This window comes from Homo sapiens, chromosome 7 (assembly GCF_000001405.40).
Source record: "Homo sapiens chromosome 7, GRCh38.p14 Primary Assembly".
NCBI classification, from domain to species: Eukaryota; Metazoa; Chordata; class Mammalia; order Primates; family Hominidae; genus Homo; species Homo sapiens.
The window spans coordinates 149,392,862-149,411,169 of NC_000007.14; the positions used below are offsets into that span (position 1 = coordinate 149,392,862).

At 44.3% G+C, this 18,308-nt stretch overlaps 2 long non-coding RNA genes across 3 annotated transcripts; one reads left to right on the forward strand and one right to left on the reverse strand.

Moving 5' to 3' along the window:
- Nucleotides 1-4,321: 4,321 nt before the first annotated feature.
- On the reverse strand, nucleotides 4,322-8,620 carry LOC105375559 (uncharacterized). Of its 2 annotated transcripts, XR_928103.3 has the most exons (3): nucleotides 7,675-8,620; nucleotides 7,311-7,451; nucleotides 4,322-5,263 (listed from the first exon to the last, which is right to left on the reverse strand). It is a non-coding gene; the product is annotated as an uncharacterized LOC105375559 (long non-coding RNA). The 2 variants fall into 2 exon arrangements; XR_007060584.1 differs by having other exon boundaries at nucleotides 7,311-8,620.
- LOC101928733 (uncharacterized) lies at nucleotides 5,343-8,595 on the forward strand. The gene is made up of 2 exons (XR_242213.1): nucleotides 5,343-5,682; nucleotides 5,816-8,595. It is a non-coding gene; the product is annotated as an uncharacterized LOC101928733 (long non-coding RNA).
- Nucleotides 8,621-18,308: the final 9,688 nt, after the last annotated feature.

The following is an 18,308-nucleotide window of genomic DNA, read 5'->3' on the forward strand; positions in this document are numbered from 1 at the left end:
AGAAGGAGAAGATATTTGCACACATATAACTGACAAGAGATTTTATTCAGAATGTATAAAGAAATCCTATGAACCCAGTACAAAAATGGGCAATAGACCTCAACAAGATTATGCAAAGAAAGGTTATTAACAAACACATGACAAATGGTCCAATCTAGTCATAATTAGCAAAATGCAAAATAAAATCACAAGATACCCTACACACCCACTGGGATGCCTAAATTAAAATAGAAAAATACTAACAATAATTGTGTTGGTAACCAGATGGTGTAATGGAAAAACATACACTGCTGATGTGAGTGTAAACTTGCACAACAACTTTATCCACTAAAGTTGACATTATCCACTAGAGTTGAAGATACAGACACCATATGAATGAGAAAATCCTCCCCTAGGTATATGCTCAAAAGAAATGTGCACTGAAAGACACATACATGAATATTCATAGCAGCTTCATTCATAATAGATTCAAATGGAAAATAACCCAAATGTTTATAAAGAATAGAATGGATAAATACATTGTACTATTAGCCCAAGATAATCTTATGCAGCATTAAAATGAATGTGCTATAGCTTCATGCAATAACATGAATGAATCTCACTCTCTTAGTCCATTCCAGCCCCTATAACAAAATACCATAAACTGGAGAGTTTATAAACAATAGAAATTTATTTCTCACAGCTCTGGAAGCTGGGAAGTCCAACATCAAGGCAGATGCAATAACTGGTTAGAGCTCTATATCTGGCTCATAGATGGTGCATTCTTGCTGTATGCTCACAGAGTGGAAGGGGTGAGGGTTCTCTCTCCAGCCACTTTTATAGGGACACTAATTCCATTCATAAGGGCTTCACCCTCGTGACCTAATCACTTTCCAAAGGCCTCACCTTCTAATACCATCACTGTGGGGATTAGAATTTGGGGGAACACAGACATTTACACCATAGCACTCACAAATAGAATATTGAGAGAAAAAAGCTAGACAAAGAGGAACATATATTTTATGGTTCCATTTAAACAAAGTACATGAACAGGCAAAATTAATGCATGGCAAGAGAAGTCAGAATAGTTTGGTTCTTTTGGGGAGGAGAGGCCAATGCTTAGGAGGGTCCTGCAGGTGGTTTCTGAGTTTCTGCTGTGTTATTTTCTCAGCTGGTGCAGTGGTTACCAGGCATGTTCGCTTTGTTTTAATTCATTGAGCTGTACATGAGGCTTTGTGCACTCTTCTCTGTGTTATGCTTTAATTTTCCAAAGTAAGAGGAAAAAACTAGCCATGAAAAGAAACCATCCGGGTCAGAGACTGTAGCAATGACTGTGACCTCATCAGCTGAATCGTCCTGCTGTGGGCCTGTGGTGGTGGCAGGTACTGCCCAGGTGCTATCCAGGTGCCACCAGGTCCTGTCCGGGTACTGCCAGATCCTGTCAGTTGCTACCCAGATGCTGCCCAGGTTCTGCCCAGGTATTGCCCAGGTGCCGCCAGATCCTGCCCAGGTGCTGCCAGGTCCTGCCCAGGTGCTGCCAGATCTTGCCCAGATGCTGCCCAGGTCCTGACCAGGTGCTGCCAGATCCTGTCCAGGCACTTCCAGGTCCTGCTCAGGCACTGCAACAGCAGCACAGGATCTTGGGGGCCAAAGCATCCCTGAAGCTGCTGCTAGGACCCCACCTCTCTGGAAGGCAGTATTCCCAGGGCCATATCTTATACTTTCAGTTAAAATAAATAAAACAGTTTATAAGGAAAAAAGTTAAAACCCCACCCCCAACCTCACAAACAGCAGCAACAGCAGCGTCAACAATACAACAAACATTAGTAAGTCGCCCTCGTCTCCCCACTCTTCCCACATGGCCTCTGCCTGCTGACACCATCTGCTTGCAAAACAAATACAAACCTGTGGTTCCTTTGCTTCAAATCCTCAGTGAACTCCAAGATGTCGAAAATGTCAAAGCTTCCAAGCACAGTCGATATACAAGGCTCCCCACAACCTGTATCGATCTACTTTTCCATCGTGATCACCTCTCTCTCCCACCCCTCCCTGTTCCTTGCTCCCTGTCCTCATCCTCCATACCACCACCCCACAGACCCTCACAGGCAAACATGCGCCCTCCGGCCACCGAGTGCTCTCTGTGGTCTAGCACGTCTTCTAATGTGCCATCCAACGCACTTCCCAACCCCACTGTCTGGACAAGCATTCATCTCTCGCTGTAGAGGTGACCTATCAGCTGGGTTTTTTTGTTTGTTTTTTGTTTGTTTGAGATGAAGTCTTGCTCTGTTACCCAGGCTGGAGTGTAGTGGCACGATCTCAGCTCACTGCAACTTCCATCTCCTGGGTTTAAGCGATTCTCGTACCTCAGCCCCCTGAGTAGCTGGGATTACAGGTACACACCACCATGCCCAGCTAATTTGTGTATTTTTAGTAGAGCTGGGATTTCACTATATTGGCCAGGCTGGTCTTGAACTCCTGGCCTCAAGTGATCCTCCCACCTCAGCTTCCCAAAATGCTGGGATTACAGGCATGAGCCGCCAAACTGGGTATGTTTTTTGAAGACTTTTCTCCCTTTCACTGGCCCCGGATTGAGTTGCTTTTTCTCTTTTCTGTTTTTTTTTTTTTCCTTAATTTAAGATTTTGTTTGCAATTCTAGCACGTATTACTACGTTGTCATTATTTCCATCTGGCTCTGAGCATGTCTTAGGCAGGAGGAATGTTCAAATATTCCTCATCTGCATATGTCTGGAGCCTTGGCACTCAATAGATGCTCAAAAAAAATGTCAGTTGAGTTTAACCAAGGAGGGTTGATTGGCCTTTCCATTCTTAAATTTCAACAAGGCTATTTATGCATGTTTTGCCTTGGGACTGAGGAAGCATAGGCAGAAATGTTGTGAAGACAAGAAAGGGATGGTTCATGGCAGTAAGGAAGACCACTATTTAGAATTGGTGTTGCCAGCTCCTGAAAGCAAGCTTGAAGTCCTAGGCATGTCCTTACAAGTGAAAGGTGGCAGTTGTGAAGTCACAGCAGGTCAAAAGGATGGCCCGGAGGTAGAGCATTTGACTGAAGGTCAGAAAGTACTTGATACAAAGAGAGGAACAAAAGACCATGGAAGTGACAGTGTGTGACTTTTGAAGCTAGACAATAAAAGCATGGCAGCTTCCACCTTGGTCTTTTAGATTTATCACTCTTAGGGGAAGCCAACCTCCATGCTGTGAGGATGCTCAAGCAACCCTGTGGAGGCTGATGTGGAGAGGGACTGAGGCCCTCAGCTCATAATCTGCATCATCTTGCCAGCCATGGGAGAGAGCCACCTTGAAAGTAGGCCCTCCAGCCCCAGTCAAGCCTTCAGATGACACAGCTCCAGCTGACATACAACTATAACTGCAAGGAGAGACCTCTAAATGAGAACTGCTCAGTAGTGTCCATCTTGAATTTCTGGCCAATAGAAACTATGGAAGTAAGACATGTTTAGTGTTGTTTGAAGCTCTAAGATTTGCTGTGATTTGTTTTGCAGCATTAACTAATCAAAATACCAGGTGAAGAAGACGAGTAGGGAAGGGCATTTGAGGTAGAGGATGCAGTATAAACAAAGGCTGGGCAAGGAATCACATGTGTCAGGGGAGCAGTGAGAAGGGTAGTGTGGGCCATGGGAGGCATTGAGGGCATGATGGCTGGAGAAGGCAGCAAAGTCTAAATTGCCATGGGCCATGAGTTCCATGGGATGAAGTTTATATTTTGTCCTGTGAACACTGAGGATCCACAAACGGTTTTATTCAGGAGATGAAAATAATCTGCTCAGATTGTTCAGGAATCTCACAGTGTGATCACATTGGACAGGAGAATCCAGTGGAAGGAGTTACAGGGATGTGACTTTAGAGTCACAGTGATTCAGGCAAGAGTACATGAAGCTGTGGCAGTTTGGGTAGAGACAGTGGACGAAAATTTGGAATAAAAATCTATAAGATTTGGGCTGGGTGCAGTGGCTCATGCCTGCAATCCCAGCACTTTGGAAGGCCGAAGTGGAAGGCTCACTTTAGCCCAGGAGTTCAAGACCAGGCTGGGGCATCGTAGTGAGACCCCATCTCCACAGAAAATTTAAAAATCAGCCTGGCGTAGTGGTACACACCTGTAGTCTCAGCTGCTCAGGAGGCTGAGTTGGAAGTATTACTTGAGCCTAAGAGTTTGAGGCTGCAATGAGCTATAATCAGGCCTGTGCACTCCAGTCTGGGCAACAGAGTGGATTTGGTAACTTTTTGGACTGAAAGGTGAGGTGAGTTGGAAGCAGGGAGGTGAAATACACAGAGGACCCCAGCTTGGAAGCCTTGAGGGCTTGCAATGTTCTTACTATTAATAATTTTTATTTTTATTTTTAAAATTTATTTTAAGAAATAAATTATTTCATGATTATTATTCTATGTAGTCAGTCTTCTTCCCACCAAAGACAAAAAGTTAGATATGCCTGGAAGTTAGAAATTTAAATAGATCCCAGCTGCAGATGAAATTGGGATCAGAAAATGAGGGGAATGGGAAGAAAAGAAATATGACTTTGCGCTAGAGATGATTTTGTACCAGTGATTGCCCTGAGGAGTTTGCACTGATATCTGGAGGAAGGCTTTTGCTAGTGGAGTGGGACTATCTCTCCACGATGCACCGATTTGCCTCCACCCATGTACATATGGAATACAAAGTTCCAGGCTCCCCCTCCTCTCTCTTCCCCTCTCTCTGGAGGATGCTGGATGAGGGGTGGTGGGGGTGGGCTGCACAGGGTGTGGGAAAGGATGTGGGAGTCTCTGGCCAGTCACCGCAGGAGCCAGGAGTCTGGGTTGGCTATTTGTTCCCCTTAGGTCATTGTGTCCAGGGGGAAGGGAGGCTTTCTGGAAAGAATGTGTTTAGTTTGTATCAGGGGCGGTGAGAGCCGCATTTCCACATTGGGACGTTTCCTGGATGCATTGCCCTCTGTCCACAAGCAGAAATGGAAGTAGCCAAGGCAGGCGGGTGGGGCCCAGGCAGCAACCAGAGTGGCAAGTGAGAGGCCAGAGGGAGCAGATGGAGCAAGTCCCGCTTATAAGTTGGGTGGAGTCCTCGGCGATGTTGCAGCACAAACCAGCCGGAGTTGAGCTCCTGGGCATAACGTACAGGTTTGTCCACACGTGGTCTCCTTGCCGGGACCCCAGTTGTCCTGGTTGTGAGGATTCTGAGACTCAGTGACTTGCTAACAATGACACAGATGGCAGGAGGCAGAATCAGGATTCAAACCTACTCAAACGTACCACAGGGTTTCTGCAGAAACAGAGAGAACCTGCTAGAAAAGTCATTGTGAGGCTAGCAAAGCTTGTCTGCTGCATTCTATTTCTTTGTCACAGACAAATAAGACATTACAGCCTTACAGGCTGGCTTTTGAGGGGTGGGAGAGGAAGAAAACAAAATACTCTTGCTGGATAAAAACGTAAACCATAGGAGACACCTGGACTTGAAGCAGGAACCTCTTGGCGTGTAGGCAGAGGCTCTTCCACCAAGCTATACCCTCTACAGTGGCAGGCTCCTCTCATTAGCGCCTTTCAAGGCTGCAGTCCCACGCCTCTTCTGATCTCTGGCTGTTCCCGGGCTCTCACTTTCGGGGAACTGGTGCTGGCGCCCCACCGCCACGACTCACTCACGGATTCACTCCTACACGTCACCAGCATCACCCTCCTGCCCAGGTGCCGCTCCCTTTTATGGAGTGTCTCTCCGGGTCCACCTCCCTCCAGCTGCTGCTTTGCTGTCCCTGGGGCGAGGGCTGTGAGAGCAAGGCCTGCAGAGCTCCCCGTAACCATAGCTCTCACCTTGCCTCAGGCCCGGGACACTGGCCAGGGAGCTCAAGGCCTCGTCCTGCCTCCTCTGGGATCGAGTAGGACTGCAAGAAGAACCTGTCCGGGACACCCGTTCTCCTCCCTTCCCTCACCGGCCTGACCGTCTTCTCTCTGCAGTTGCTGTTGTCCTGCTATTAGCACTCCCTGCCCCTCCTCTACTCGGATTCTTATTCCCTGATTCCCATACGGAAAATCGTGGGACTTGCCAGCCTCCATAATTTCATGAATCAACTCCTTAAAATTAATCTCCATATAGATAGATGATAGATAGATAGATGATAGAGCTATATTTCTCTGTCTACCGATACAGATCTATCTATCTGTATCAATCAATCTATGTCTATCTATCTACCCATATATCCACCCACATCCAATTGGTCCTGTTTCTCTGAAGAACCCTGACTACGATACCAGCTAAACCCCTGTTCAATAACAATGAAAAGATGAGAACCTTTCACTGATAAAAACTGAGAGAATTTGCCATCAGCAAACTCTCACTAAAGTAAATTTTATTGTCTTTTGAGACAGGATCTCACTCTGTTGCTCAGGCTAGAGTGCAGTGGCATGATCGTGGCTCACTGCAGCCTTGACCTCCCAGTGGGGAGGTCCTTAAGAGATCCTCCCACCTCAGCCTCTCAAGTAGCTGGGACTACAAGGGTGTGTCATCATGCCCAGCTAATTTTTTCTTTCTTTCTTTTTTTTTTTTTTTTGGTATTTTTTGTAGAGACAGTTTCACCATGTTGTCCAGACTGGTCTCAAACTCCTGGGCTCAAGTGATCCTCCTGCCTCAGTCAACCAAAGTGCTAGGATTATATGCGTGAGCCACTGTGCCCGATCTAAAGTAAGTTTTAAAGGATATTTTTTCAGGAAGAAGACAACTGTATACAGAAGGAATGAATGATAGGAAATAAGAGAATTAGAAAAGAAATTTAAGAATCTGGCTAATGTAACAAACATTAATTGAGCAGAAGACTAATAATACAATAATTATTTATTTTTAAATTGATAATCATGCAGGTATTTGGGCATTAACAAAACAAGGTGAAGCCAAATACTTGCTTTAACAATAAATTGACCAGGTGCGGTGGCTCACGCCTGTAATCCCAGCACTTTGGGAGGCCAAGACGGGTGGATCACTTGAGGTCAGGAGTTCGAGACCAGCCTGGCCACTATGGCGAAACCCTGTCTCTATTAAAAATGCAAAATTAGATGGGCGTGGTGGCGGGCGCCTGTTATCTCAGCTACTTAGAAGGCTGAGGCATGAGAATCACTTGAACCTGGGAGGCAGAGGTTGCAGTGAACCAAGATTGTGCCATTGCACTCCAGCCTAGACAAAAAAAGCAAAACTTCGTCTCAAAAAACAAAAACAAAAACAATAATGAATGCACATTTTTCAAGCACAAATAGAACATTTATAGAAATTGACCATATTACAAGTCTAATTTTAGCACATTATAAAGAATTAGTATAATACAAACCTCATTCTCTGACAAAATGTAGTAAAGGCAGAAATTTGTAACAAGTAACTTCTAAATAATCATGTATGCTTTGACAACAGTTGAAAGACTTCTGAATTAACCATGGGTCAAAGAAAAAATTGCAATGAAAAATGAAAATACCTGGAAGCAAACAATAATAAATGTTATCATCAAAACCTGTGAAATGGCTCCAGAGAGGGACGTCCCCAGGATTGACTCCTAAAAGTGAAAATGGAGCTCAGCAGAGTGGCTCACAACAGTGACTCTCAACAGTAACTCCATCTCCAGTGCTTCCGATAGGCTCTCTCCCTCTCCTTCCCCACCGAGGTACATGCTGGGTTACAGCAGTCAATCTCCTCCTTACTGGAGTGCTAATAATTGGCTTCAGAAAGGCGTCCAGAAACCCTGGACTGGCAGAACCTCAATGCGGTTGAAGGTATGGAGCCTGGGCCTCAGATGTGCATCACCAGACCCCTGAACTTGTAGATGCAACCTAATTTGACCAGGTTCTCAAGGTAGCCCTAATTAGACTCTCAAAGACTGATACATAATAAGCCAGAATGTTCTTCAGGTTACCTGGGAAACTAAGAGCCATCAGAAGGTTGCTTAGTGAGGCTGCAATCAGAGCAAATGGAATTGAAAGCTCTTGAGGGGATTTTCTCAGGTCATAGAAAATTATCATGAGTGATTCTTGTTCCGAAGTATTGTCCCCTCTCTAGAGGCCAAAATCTCACATCCACGGAACTGAGACCCTCACTGACTCCTTGCTCATCCTTGGCAGGTCACTGAGTCCTGTCATTCAGTCCCCTGGACCTGGACACCCGTCGTCACTGCTAGTGTCTTGGCTCTGTGATCTACTATGTGTGTCCAAATCTCAGTCCACAAATTGAGGAGTAGAGGACTGTGACTTTACTCTTTTACAGAACAGCTTGATTTCTATTTTGTGTCCTGTCCTGCTGGGCGACAGAAATTTAATGACTCATCTATAAATCCTCCCAATATTTCCCCCGTGTTGCCCCTAAATTCGGCAGTGGCTTTAGGAGTGCCACAGCACTGGAGGTGGGGTTAGGGGTTTGCTTCTTCACATCATCTTGACCACATGTGAGTGTGGGATATTCTGGTTTCCTGCTGCCTCGGGGTCCTTGCTGTTCCCCACTGTGCCTTCTCCTGCCAGCCTTGCCCATATGGCTCTGCCATGCGGGGACAGTGCTACTTCTGTGCCAATCTTTATTGCCTGAGTCCCCCAGCACCCAGACTGCTGAAATTAAAAGATGAGCACCGACAATTTGCATTCTATGGCGTCATTCCTTCCCTGTGGTGTGAAAGGCACAAGGCCTACCTGTCTGGATGAGAGGGCAGGTGGTGACAGCAGCCACAGGTGGCGACAGCAGCCACAGGGGACAGAAACCTTGCTTTTTTTTTTTTTTTTTTTTTTTTTTTTGAGATGAAGTTTTGCTCTTGTCACCTAGGCTAGAGTGCAATGGCGTGTGGTCTCAGTTCACTGCAACCTCCGCCTCCTGGGTTCAAATGATTGTCCCGCCTCAGCTTCTCAAGTAGCTGGGATAACAGGCGCCTGCCACCACACCCAGCTAATTTTTGTATTTTCAGTAGAGATGGGTTTTCACCATATTGGCCAGGCTGGTCTTGAACTCCTGACCTCAGGTGATCCACCCACCTCGGCCTCCCAAAGTGCTGGGATTACAGGCGTGAGCCACCGCGCCTGGCCGTGAAACCTCGCTTCTTATCTCCCATTATGAAGACCCAGCTTCTCAAATGTTCTCTGTCTTCCCTCCACCTCCCTATGACTCTCCATCCTTCCCAGAACAGGTCTTATGGGGGCTTTCATATGACCGGCCGCTACATGCTTTCCATTAATTGCCTCCTTTTGTCTTCACAACGAGATAGGTATTGTTATTATCCCCAATTTACAAACAAAGAAACCAAAGCTTAGAGACATTCAGTAACCTAGACAGTCTAACATCAGAACCAAAGTTCATGATCATATTACAAGAATTCTTTCTAAAACAAGGTTACAAAGGGTCTTTGCCTACCTGGCATTGGGAGATAAAACATCTGCCACTTCCTTATTGTCTGATTTCCCTTCTTGGATATTTGGGAAATAACAGCTCACCACCCGTGACTTTAGGCTGTGAGGTTATGAAACAGTTAATTAGACTGCCGTTTCATTTATTTTATTTTGTGTATTTTTTTCTTGGATGTGGGCAAATCTCATTTTAATTGCAAAAGACTTCCTTTACATCACATTCAATAATGAACCAACAGGAGAACTGCTGACTTTGGAATGTATGAATATATAAAAATCCCTTGTAATACAGGTAGTCAAGATAATAAGTGCATGCAAGGAAAGCAATCCTCCTCATTTTTCTGAAAACTGTTTTACATTTTAAAAGGTGGCTAGGCATACTTGGAAGTTCAAAGCAGTAGGATGCACCGTGCAGGGAAACAAAGAGGAAAGCCCTTTTCCATGTTGTTAGGCAAATATATATCAAATATACCCCACTTCCACTTAATAAAGTCAGTTGGATGAGTTCTTTGAACCAGGCTAGGGCAGAATACTCAGTAAAACTGGGCTCTGGGTGGGGATGCGAATCCAGGAGAAGAGGAGCACCAGATCCCATCCGTTCCCCTCTCTAACACAGACGAGGCACGCTGCCCCTTGTCCCTGGACATAGGACGCACCAGCACAGTCCTCAGATAGTTACTGCACCCACTGCCTGGTGCTTTCCAACGGTCTTAATTTACGCCATGGAGAAAATCCTTTACCACCAAACACAAACTGTCATTGAACTTAAGTCATAAAGGATGTTATGGGGGAAATTCTTGTTTGAAGAAGAATTTCTTCGTCAGTTTGAAGAAGTCACTTTGGTTGTTCCTTCACATGAACACTTCTCTCTGGGTCACTTCTGCTGACCTCAGTCCCACCCAGTGCGACTGGAAACAACATGGAAAAGGGCTTTCCTCTTTCTTTCCCTGCACGGTGCATCCTACTGCTTTGAACTTCCAAGTACGCCTAGTCACCTTTTAAAATGTAAAACGGTTTTCAGCTAGAAGCGATTCTAGCTTCACGCTCATGGGCTGATGTTATATTCAAGTGACTTTATCTTCAGGTTCCAGGAGTATCACCATCCCAGAACAAAAGTGGGAGGGTCCTTGGAGAAACTGGAGGTAAGCACTTTTCTGCTTTAAAAATCTCTGGGCAAGATGAACCAGGAAGCCCATCCCTGAGGCAGGAACCTACCTGCAGAGCAGCTAAGGTTTCTAAGGACGTTTGCCACCTAGCCTTGTGTTGCTAGTGACGCTAGTGAACCGGGAACCAAGGTGACTGGTTCTGAGTGTGCCTTCTTTTTTTTGTTTCTCCTTGTTTTTCAGCAAAGTTCCTATTGGAAATGTCAGCCTGTCTCCATGGTGCTAAGAAAAGTAAGGAAAGAAAGTTTTCTCCAGACACACCAATATGAACTCCATTAACATGAGATAGAAAACTAACTCAGAAACTTAGAATCAGAACCTTAAAATCAGATCCTCATTATGGAAAATTTCAAATATACACAAAAACAGTAGTCTCTTCCATCTAGATCCAGCAGTCCTGGTGGGTGAGACCTGATTTAATTAGATTTATTTTAAAATTTAAAATGTATATTTTAGGCTGGGCACAGTGGCTCATGCCTGTTATCTAAGAACTTTGGGAGGCTGAGGTGGGAGGATTACTTGAAGCCGCCAGGAGTTTCAGACCAGCCCGGGCAACAAAACAAGACCCCAGTCTCTACAAAAAAAATTTTTTTTAAAAAATTAGCTGGGTGTGGTGGCAGTAGCTGTGGTGCCAGATACTGGACAAGCTGAGGCAGAGGGTCCCTTGAGCCCAGGACTTTGAGGTGGCAGTGAGCCCTGATCGCGCTGTCACAGGATGCTTCGCAGTGAGCCCTGACCTCACTGTCATGGGATCCTTCGCAGTGAGCCCCGATCCTGCTGTCACAGGATCCTTTGCAGTCAACCCTGACCTCACTGTCACAGGATCCTTCGCAGTGAGCCCTGACCGCGCTGTCACTGGATCCTTTATAGTGAGCCCTCATCACAGTCACAGGATCCTTCACAGTGAGCCCTGATTGTGCTGTCACTGGATCCTTCGCAGTGAGCCCTGACCATGCTGTCACTGGATCCTTTGTAGTGAGCCCTCATCACAGTCACAGGATCCTTCAGTGTTGACTTTGGTATCGCTTCGCCAGTGGGAAACTTCTGTGGCCAGTGGCATCTCTGCTTGAGTTTTGCTCGTGGCCGCTGAGCTCCTTCCACCTACTTGGTCTGGCAGGCTGTGCTTAGTTCACGCTACCAGCCCAGATCCCCCACCTGCCATGGGCAAGCCAAGTGCGGAGCAGAGAGGGGTGTGTGAGTGTGCAGGTATGGGGTCTGGCCAGTGCACGTAGCCAGGCACACCAGCTGCTATGGTGGGGTGGGCAGCTCCGGGCACGGGCACAGGTGCCAGCTCTGTGTGAAGCTGCAGCTGGACCTTCCACCACAGGCACCAGCAACTGGACGAGGGGAACGCATTGGTGCCCAAAAGCTTGGAGATGCCAGGAACCGCAGAGCCCCAAAGGGTGTTACAGCATGTCACGGTCTTGGCTTGGGGAGGCCCACAGCTCTTCTCTCCTTCTCATCACTTGCAGTGTGGCAAGTGGGGTTGGGGGTGTTTTGGGGTAGTATTTCAGCCAGTTTGTGTCACAGTTCTTTCAGTCCCACCGCCCCGCTCTGGCCTGAAGCTCCTGGGCTAGTCTGGCCCTGCCTCCTGTCACTGCTGACAGAGGGCGGGAGGGCTATAGTGTTACAGCTCTGGCTTGGGGAATCCCAAGGTCTGGGCCTCAGAAAGGTTACCACTCTTAACTCCCACAGTCCAGACGCGTATCACTGCCCACAGCCTGGTGAGCCAGCCAGCGAAGTGTTACAGCTCCTTTTGCTTCCACTGTGTGGTGGGTCCCAAGTTCCTGTCCTGTGTCCAGGAAGAATGAGGCTACTCAGACAACTGGAGGGTGAGCAAGGCAGAGAAGAGCTTTATTGGGTGACTGAACAGCTCTCAGCAGAGAGGAGACCCAAAGTGGGTAGCTCCTATCCACAGGCAGGTAATCCCAGAGTGTATGAGTCTGGCTGAGTCCAGGGATTTTTATGGGCTCAGAATGGAGGAAGTTCATGCTAATTGGTCCATGGTGGGCCTGGAAGAAGCACCACTTGATTGGCTGAAAGGCATCAAGGAAGTTTTTTCACTCCGGGTAGCGGACTTCACTGGGACCTGGCAGCCTGGCCTCCAGGCTTCAGTCCATCCTTGGCTTGAAGGTGGGGTTTCATCTGGGACCCGTCCTTTCCTACCCAGAAACCTGTCTGCCTCCTGCCACCATCAACACCATTGCACTCCAGCCTGGGCAACAGAGCGGAGGCCTCATCTCTTAAAAAAAAAGAATAAATAAAATAAAAACAAATAAAAAATGTATATTTTAAAAATAAATACCGAATTCATAGAACTCACACAATACAATATTCTAAAGGAACGAAAAAGTAGGCAGTGAAAATTCTCCCTCTTGTTTATCTACCAAGACTCCACTCACTGGGGGAAGCCCATGTCTTGTGTTTCTTACATATTCTTCCATAGATAATTTGTACGTCTGAGGAGTTATTAGTGCATATTTTCTCCTACCTTTTCTGTAAACACAAATGATAGCACAGCATATACATCTTGGTTTTTTTCTACCTCATTTAATTTTATAGTCTCCAGATGCCTTTAGTGGTGTCATAGGGGTAAGTTTTCCAGCTGAAATTTGTAGTAACATTAATGGGAGGGGGAACGTTACCACAAAACCCGATAGCGGAAAGGGAAGGAAACTTGGGAATAGAGGGCACCCATATTTGAACCAGGGACCACTTGATCTGCAGCCAAATGGTTTACTCCTCAGCTATACCCCCTTGCCTGAGGGACATTCCTTCTTAGCACATTTCACCTGTGTAGCCACACCCAAGACACTACATTTACTATAATACCTAATGTTTTTGTGCAATTATTTTGTTCTAAATAAATTGTAAGAGCTTCATATATATAATTTAAAAAATTATTTGTGGTAGTACTATCACTACTACCACCATCATCATTGATGACAATGACATATGGAATTGAAGCAAATTGCCCCAAATCAGTGTTAAGTGACAGAATCAAGAACTAAAGGCAGGGCGTGGAGAATCATGCCTGTAATCCCAGCACTTTGGGAGGCTGAGGCAGATGGCTTGCTTGAGCCCAGGAATTTGAAACCAGCCTGGGCAACATGGTGAAAACCCATCTCTACAAAAAAAAAAAAAAAATATATATATATATATATGTATATTATATATATATAAAATAGCTGGGCATGGTGGTGCACACCTGTAGTCCCAGCTACTCAGGAGGCTGAGGCAGGAGGACTGCTTGAGCCCAGAAAGTCAAGGCTGCAGTGAGCCAGCCTGGGTGACAGTGCAAGACCTTAAAATAAATAAATAAATAAATAAATAAATAAATAAATAAATAAATAAAGCTAAACAGCCACTACATTATCCAGCCTCCACTAGGCTGCTCTTTATTTTGGGTTGGGTCTGCAGGGCTCTGCTGCCTCCCAGTGGACCCCTCTCCCTGCTCTGTTACAACCTCATCCCCCGCCTCCTCCCTGCCAGCCCTCCCTGCTTTTATATAATGGGGTTGCCCAGAGAAGGCCATTTAACCCAAGTGCCCTGAGAGGGCCCAACATTGGCTTCTGGAAGTCAGAACATTTATTTATTTATTTTTGCCAGTGGTAATTAATTTTATCGCAAGTTATATACATTTGCAATTTGCTAAAATTCTTGTTATTCTTACAAATTGCCAATAAATGTTCTCAATTTCATTGAAGAAAACCAAATTAATAAATTAGAATTATTTCTGGTCAAAATACTTTCAGAAAGGAATCGCTTAGGAGGCTATACACCACAGAAACAGCGACATTTGTCAGAATTATTTATTGTGATAAACTACTTACAGACCTCTTATGTAACAGAATATTTTTAATAAAAGTTTATATTTTAATAGCAGCTAAATGGAGACATAATAACCTTTTTAAAAATGAGCTATAATTTATACATCATATACTTCACCCTTTTAAAGTATATAATTCAGTGGTTTTGGGTATATTCACAGATTGTGTAACTATCACCACTATCAAATTTCAGAACATTTTCATCACCCCGGAAAGATACCCCAAACCCATCAGCAGACATCACTCCAATCCCACCTCCCCCAGCCCCTGGCAATGAGACACGTTAGCCTTCGAGTAGAGCTGGCTATTTTGCAAAATCACAGGGGTGGGGGAAGCCTCAAGAAATCATCTAGTTCATTTCCTACCCTTAAGAGCCTCTGAAGGGAGATCCACCATCTTCTATGGAAGCTACTGTGTACTCTAAAAATTAATATAAGGGAAGCAGCCAAATGATATCTATATTATCCTAGGTAAAATGGTTTCTATATTCAGAAGAGCTTGCTTAACTTATTTTACAGCTATATTTTCAATTTGGGATCAAACCTTAATAGTGTTAGATATTAATACATCAGAAATTACTCTCAGATTCACCACATTATTTGATAATTTTTCTACTATTTGGTTGCTTTACTTTTAATGTGAGCATTAGGTTTCCTTTTTTTTTTTTTTTTCTTAAATCCCTACAGACAGCATTAGGTTTTCTGTTGTGCCCCCTGAATCTTACTGTATACAAAAGTAAGTCGAGCCACTTTAAGGAAGTCAACAGGCCTTTGGCTGTTACTTTGTTGTCATAGATTTTATTGGAAAAAGACAGTGGCACCTAGATGTCTCACCAAGATGTATAATGCATGTTCAAAAGCAGACCCTAGCTTTTTTTTCCCCTCAAAAACAGATCTGAAGAGTCTCAGTCAGAGACACAGAATGATTCTGTAAATGTAAGCTACAAATTGTCTAGGGTAATAAAAGAAAAATCTTGCCCTGCCTCCAAATCTGGTAACTATTTTTTTTTAGAATTTTTTTATTTCTATAGGTTATTGGGGAACAGGTGGTGTTTGGCTACATAAGTAGGTTCTTTAGTGGTGATTTGTGAGATTTTGGTGCACCCATCACCCGAGCAGTATACACTGTACCCAATTAGTGAACTTTTATCCCTCAGCCCCTTCCCACCCTTTCCCCTGAGTCCCCAAAGTCCACTGTGTCATTCTTACGCCTTTGCATCCTCATAGCTTAGCTCCCACTTATGAATGAGAACATACGATGCTTGGTTTTCCATTCCTGAGTTACTTCCCTTAGAATAATAGTCTCCAGTCTTATCCAGGTTGCTGTGAATGCCATTAATTCATTATTTTTTATGGCTGAGTAGTATTCCATTGTATATGTATACCACAGTTTCTTTATCCACTCATTGATTCATGGGCATTTAGTTTGTTTCCACATGTTTGGAATTGCCAATTTTGCTGCTATAAACATGCATCTGCAAGTATCTTTTTCGTATAATGACTTCTTTTCCTCCGGGCAGATACCCAGCGGTGGGATTGCTAGGTCAAATGATAGTTCTATTTTTTGTTATTTAAGGAATCTCCACACTGTTTTCCATAGTGGTTGTACTAGTTTACATTCCCTCCAGCAGTGTAGAAGTGTTCCCTTTTCACCGCATCTAACCAACATCTATTATTTTTGATTTTTTTGATTCTGGCCATTCTTGCAGGAGTAAGGTGGTATCACATTGTGGTTTTGATTTGCATTTCCCTGATCATTAGTGATGTTGAGCATTTTTTCATATGTTTGGTGCCCATTTGTATATCTTCTTTTGAGAATTGTCTATTCATGACCTTAGCCCAATTTCTGATGGGATTATTTATTTTTTTCTTGCTAATTTGTTTGAGTTCCTCATAGATTCTGGATATTAATAATCTTTGTATAGATTACAAAGATTTTCTCCCACTCTATGGGTTGTCTGTTTACTCTGCTAACTGTTTGTTTTGCCATGCAAAAGCTGTTTAGTTTAATTAAGTCCCGGCTATTTATCTTTGTTTTTATCGCATTTGCTTTTGGGAAAGTCAGAACATTTAAACTGAGGTTTTCTAAATGTGTGAATTAGTTAGCTTTTGTATGAGTAACGACTTCACGTGGCTCAGAGTTTAAAATGTACAAGTTGTCACCTGGCCAGCATGTAACCTCTTTGCTGGTTTCTTGTACACTTTCAAAAGAGAAACATTTCTCTTAGAGCCCCAGAGTTAATTTTATTTTAGTTTATTTCTTAGTTTATTTAGTTTAGTTCTTAGATCTGTATACACATATGTACACAAAACTACATACAAATGCCCTGTACTTAACAGTTTTATACGGCTATAAAAACAAAATAATTTTAGAAATCCTGCCATGGGTGGTGGCTCAGGCCTGTAATCCCAGCACTTTGGGAGGCTGAGGCGGGTGGATCACCTGAGGTCAGGAGTTTAAGACCAGCCTGGCTAATGTGGTGAAACCCGTCTCTACTAAAATTACAAAAATTAGCTGGGCATGCTCACATGTGCCTGTAGTCCCAGCTACTCGGGAGGCTGAGGCAGGAGAATCACTTGAACTCAGGAGGCGGAGGTTGCAGTGAGTCAAGATCACACCACTGCACTCCAGCCAGGGCAACAGAGCAAGACTCTTGTCTCTCAAAAAAACCAATTTTTTTTTAGAAATCATTACAAATGAAATCATAAATCAAATAACACTCAAATAATTAGTTTCATTCAGAGGAAACTAACTCGCTAGAACTAACAGGCTCTGTGTAATGTGTTTGTGAGGCTGTCCCTCACAAGCCTGTGAAGACCCGCTGGGCCCCAGCACGTCTGGGAAACCGCCTCTGTGAGCACAACTCTCACTTCCCTCTCTTGTGGACTTAGTTGAGCTTCTGTTCTTTTGCCACCACAGGTATTAAAGCACCACATGGTGACAAGTGAATCACAAACACACGCGTACAGGCACACCCAAGCACACAGTGCCTAGAAACAGCTTTTTGTTGTAAAGTGTCCACCCAAACAAGTCCTAGAATGCCCATATTAAAAATGCTAAGATTGTGATTAAAATTTGAATAGAAAAATTCTTCGGAGAGTTCAGGGACTGCTGGAAAACACGGATCTAGCTGCCTCCTCCATGCCACCCACCTGGAAAGAGACTCAGAGGCCTGCCTGTGTCTGATTGGGCTGTTGACAATGGTCAGGGCTATGACTCCAAGCTGGGCGCAGTTGCTCGGGCCTGTAATCCCGGCACTTTGGGAGGTGGTGGCAGGGGGACTGCTTGAACCCAGGAGTTTGAGACCAGCCCAGGCAACAAAGCAAGACCCTGTATCTACAAAACATACAAATCACCTGGGTATTTTTTTGTTTTTTTTTTTTGTGGCAATTGTGAATGGGATTGCTTTTCTGATTTGGTTCTCAGTTTGGTTATTGTTGGTATATAGGAATGCTAGCAATTTTTGTATATTGATTTTGTAGCCCGCAAGTTTGCTGAAGTTATCAGCTGACGAAGCTTTTGGGCCAAGAATATGGGGTTTTCTAGATATAGAATCATGTCGTCTGCAAACAGAGATAGTTTGACTTCCTCTCTTCCTATTTGGATGTCCTTTATTTCTTTCTCTTGCCTGATTGCTCTGGCTAGGACTTCCCATACTATGTTGAATATAAGTGGTGAGAGAGGACATCCTTGTCTTGTGCTGGTTTTCAAGGGGAATGTTTCCAGCTTTTACCCATTCAGAATGATATTGGCTGTGGGTTTGTCATTAATGGCTCTTATTATTTTGAGGTATATTCCTTCAGTACCTAGTTTATTGAGAGTTTTTAACATGAAGGGATATTGAATTTTCTCAAAAGCCATTTCTGCGTCTATTGAGATAATCATGTGTTTTTTGTCTTTAGTTCTGTTTATGTGATGAATCACATTCATTGATTTTTGTATGTTGAACCATCCTTGTATC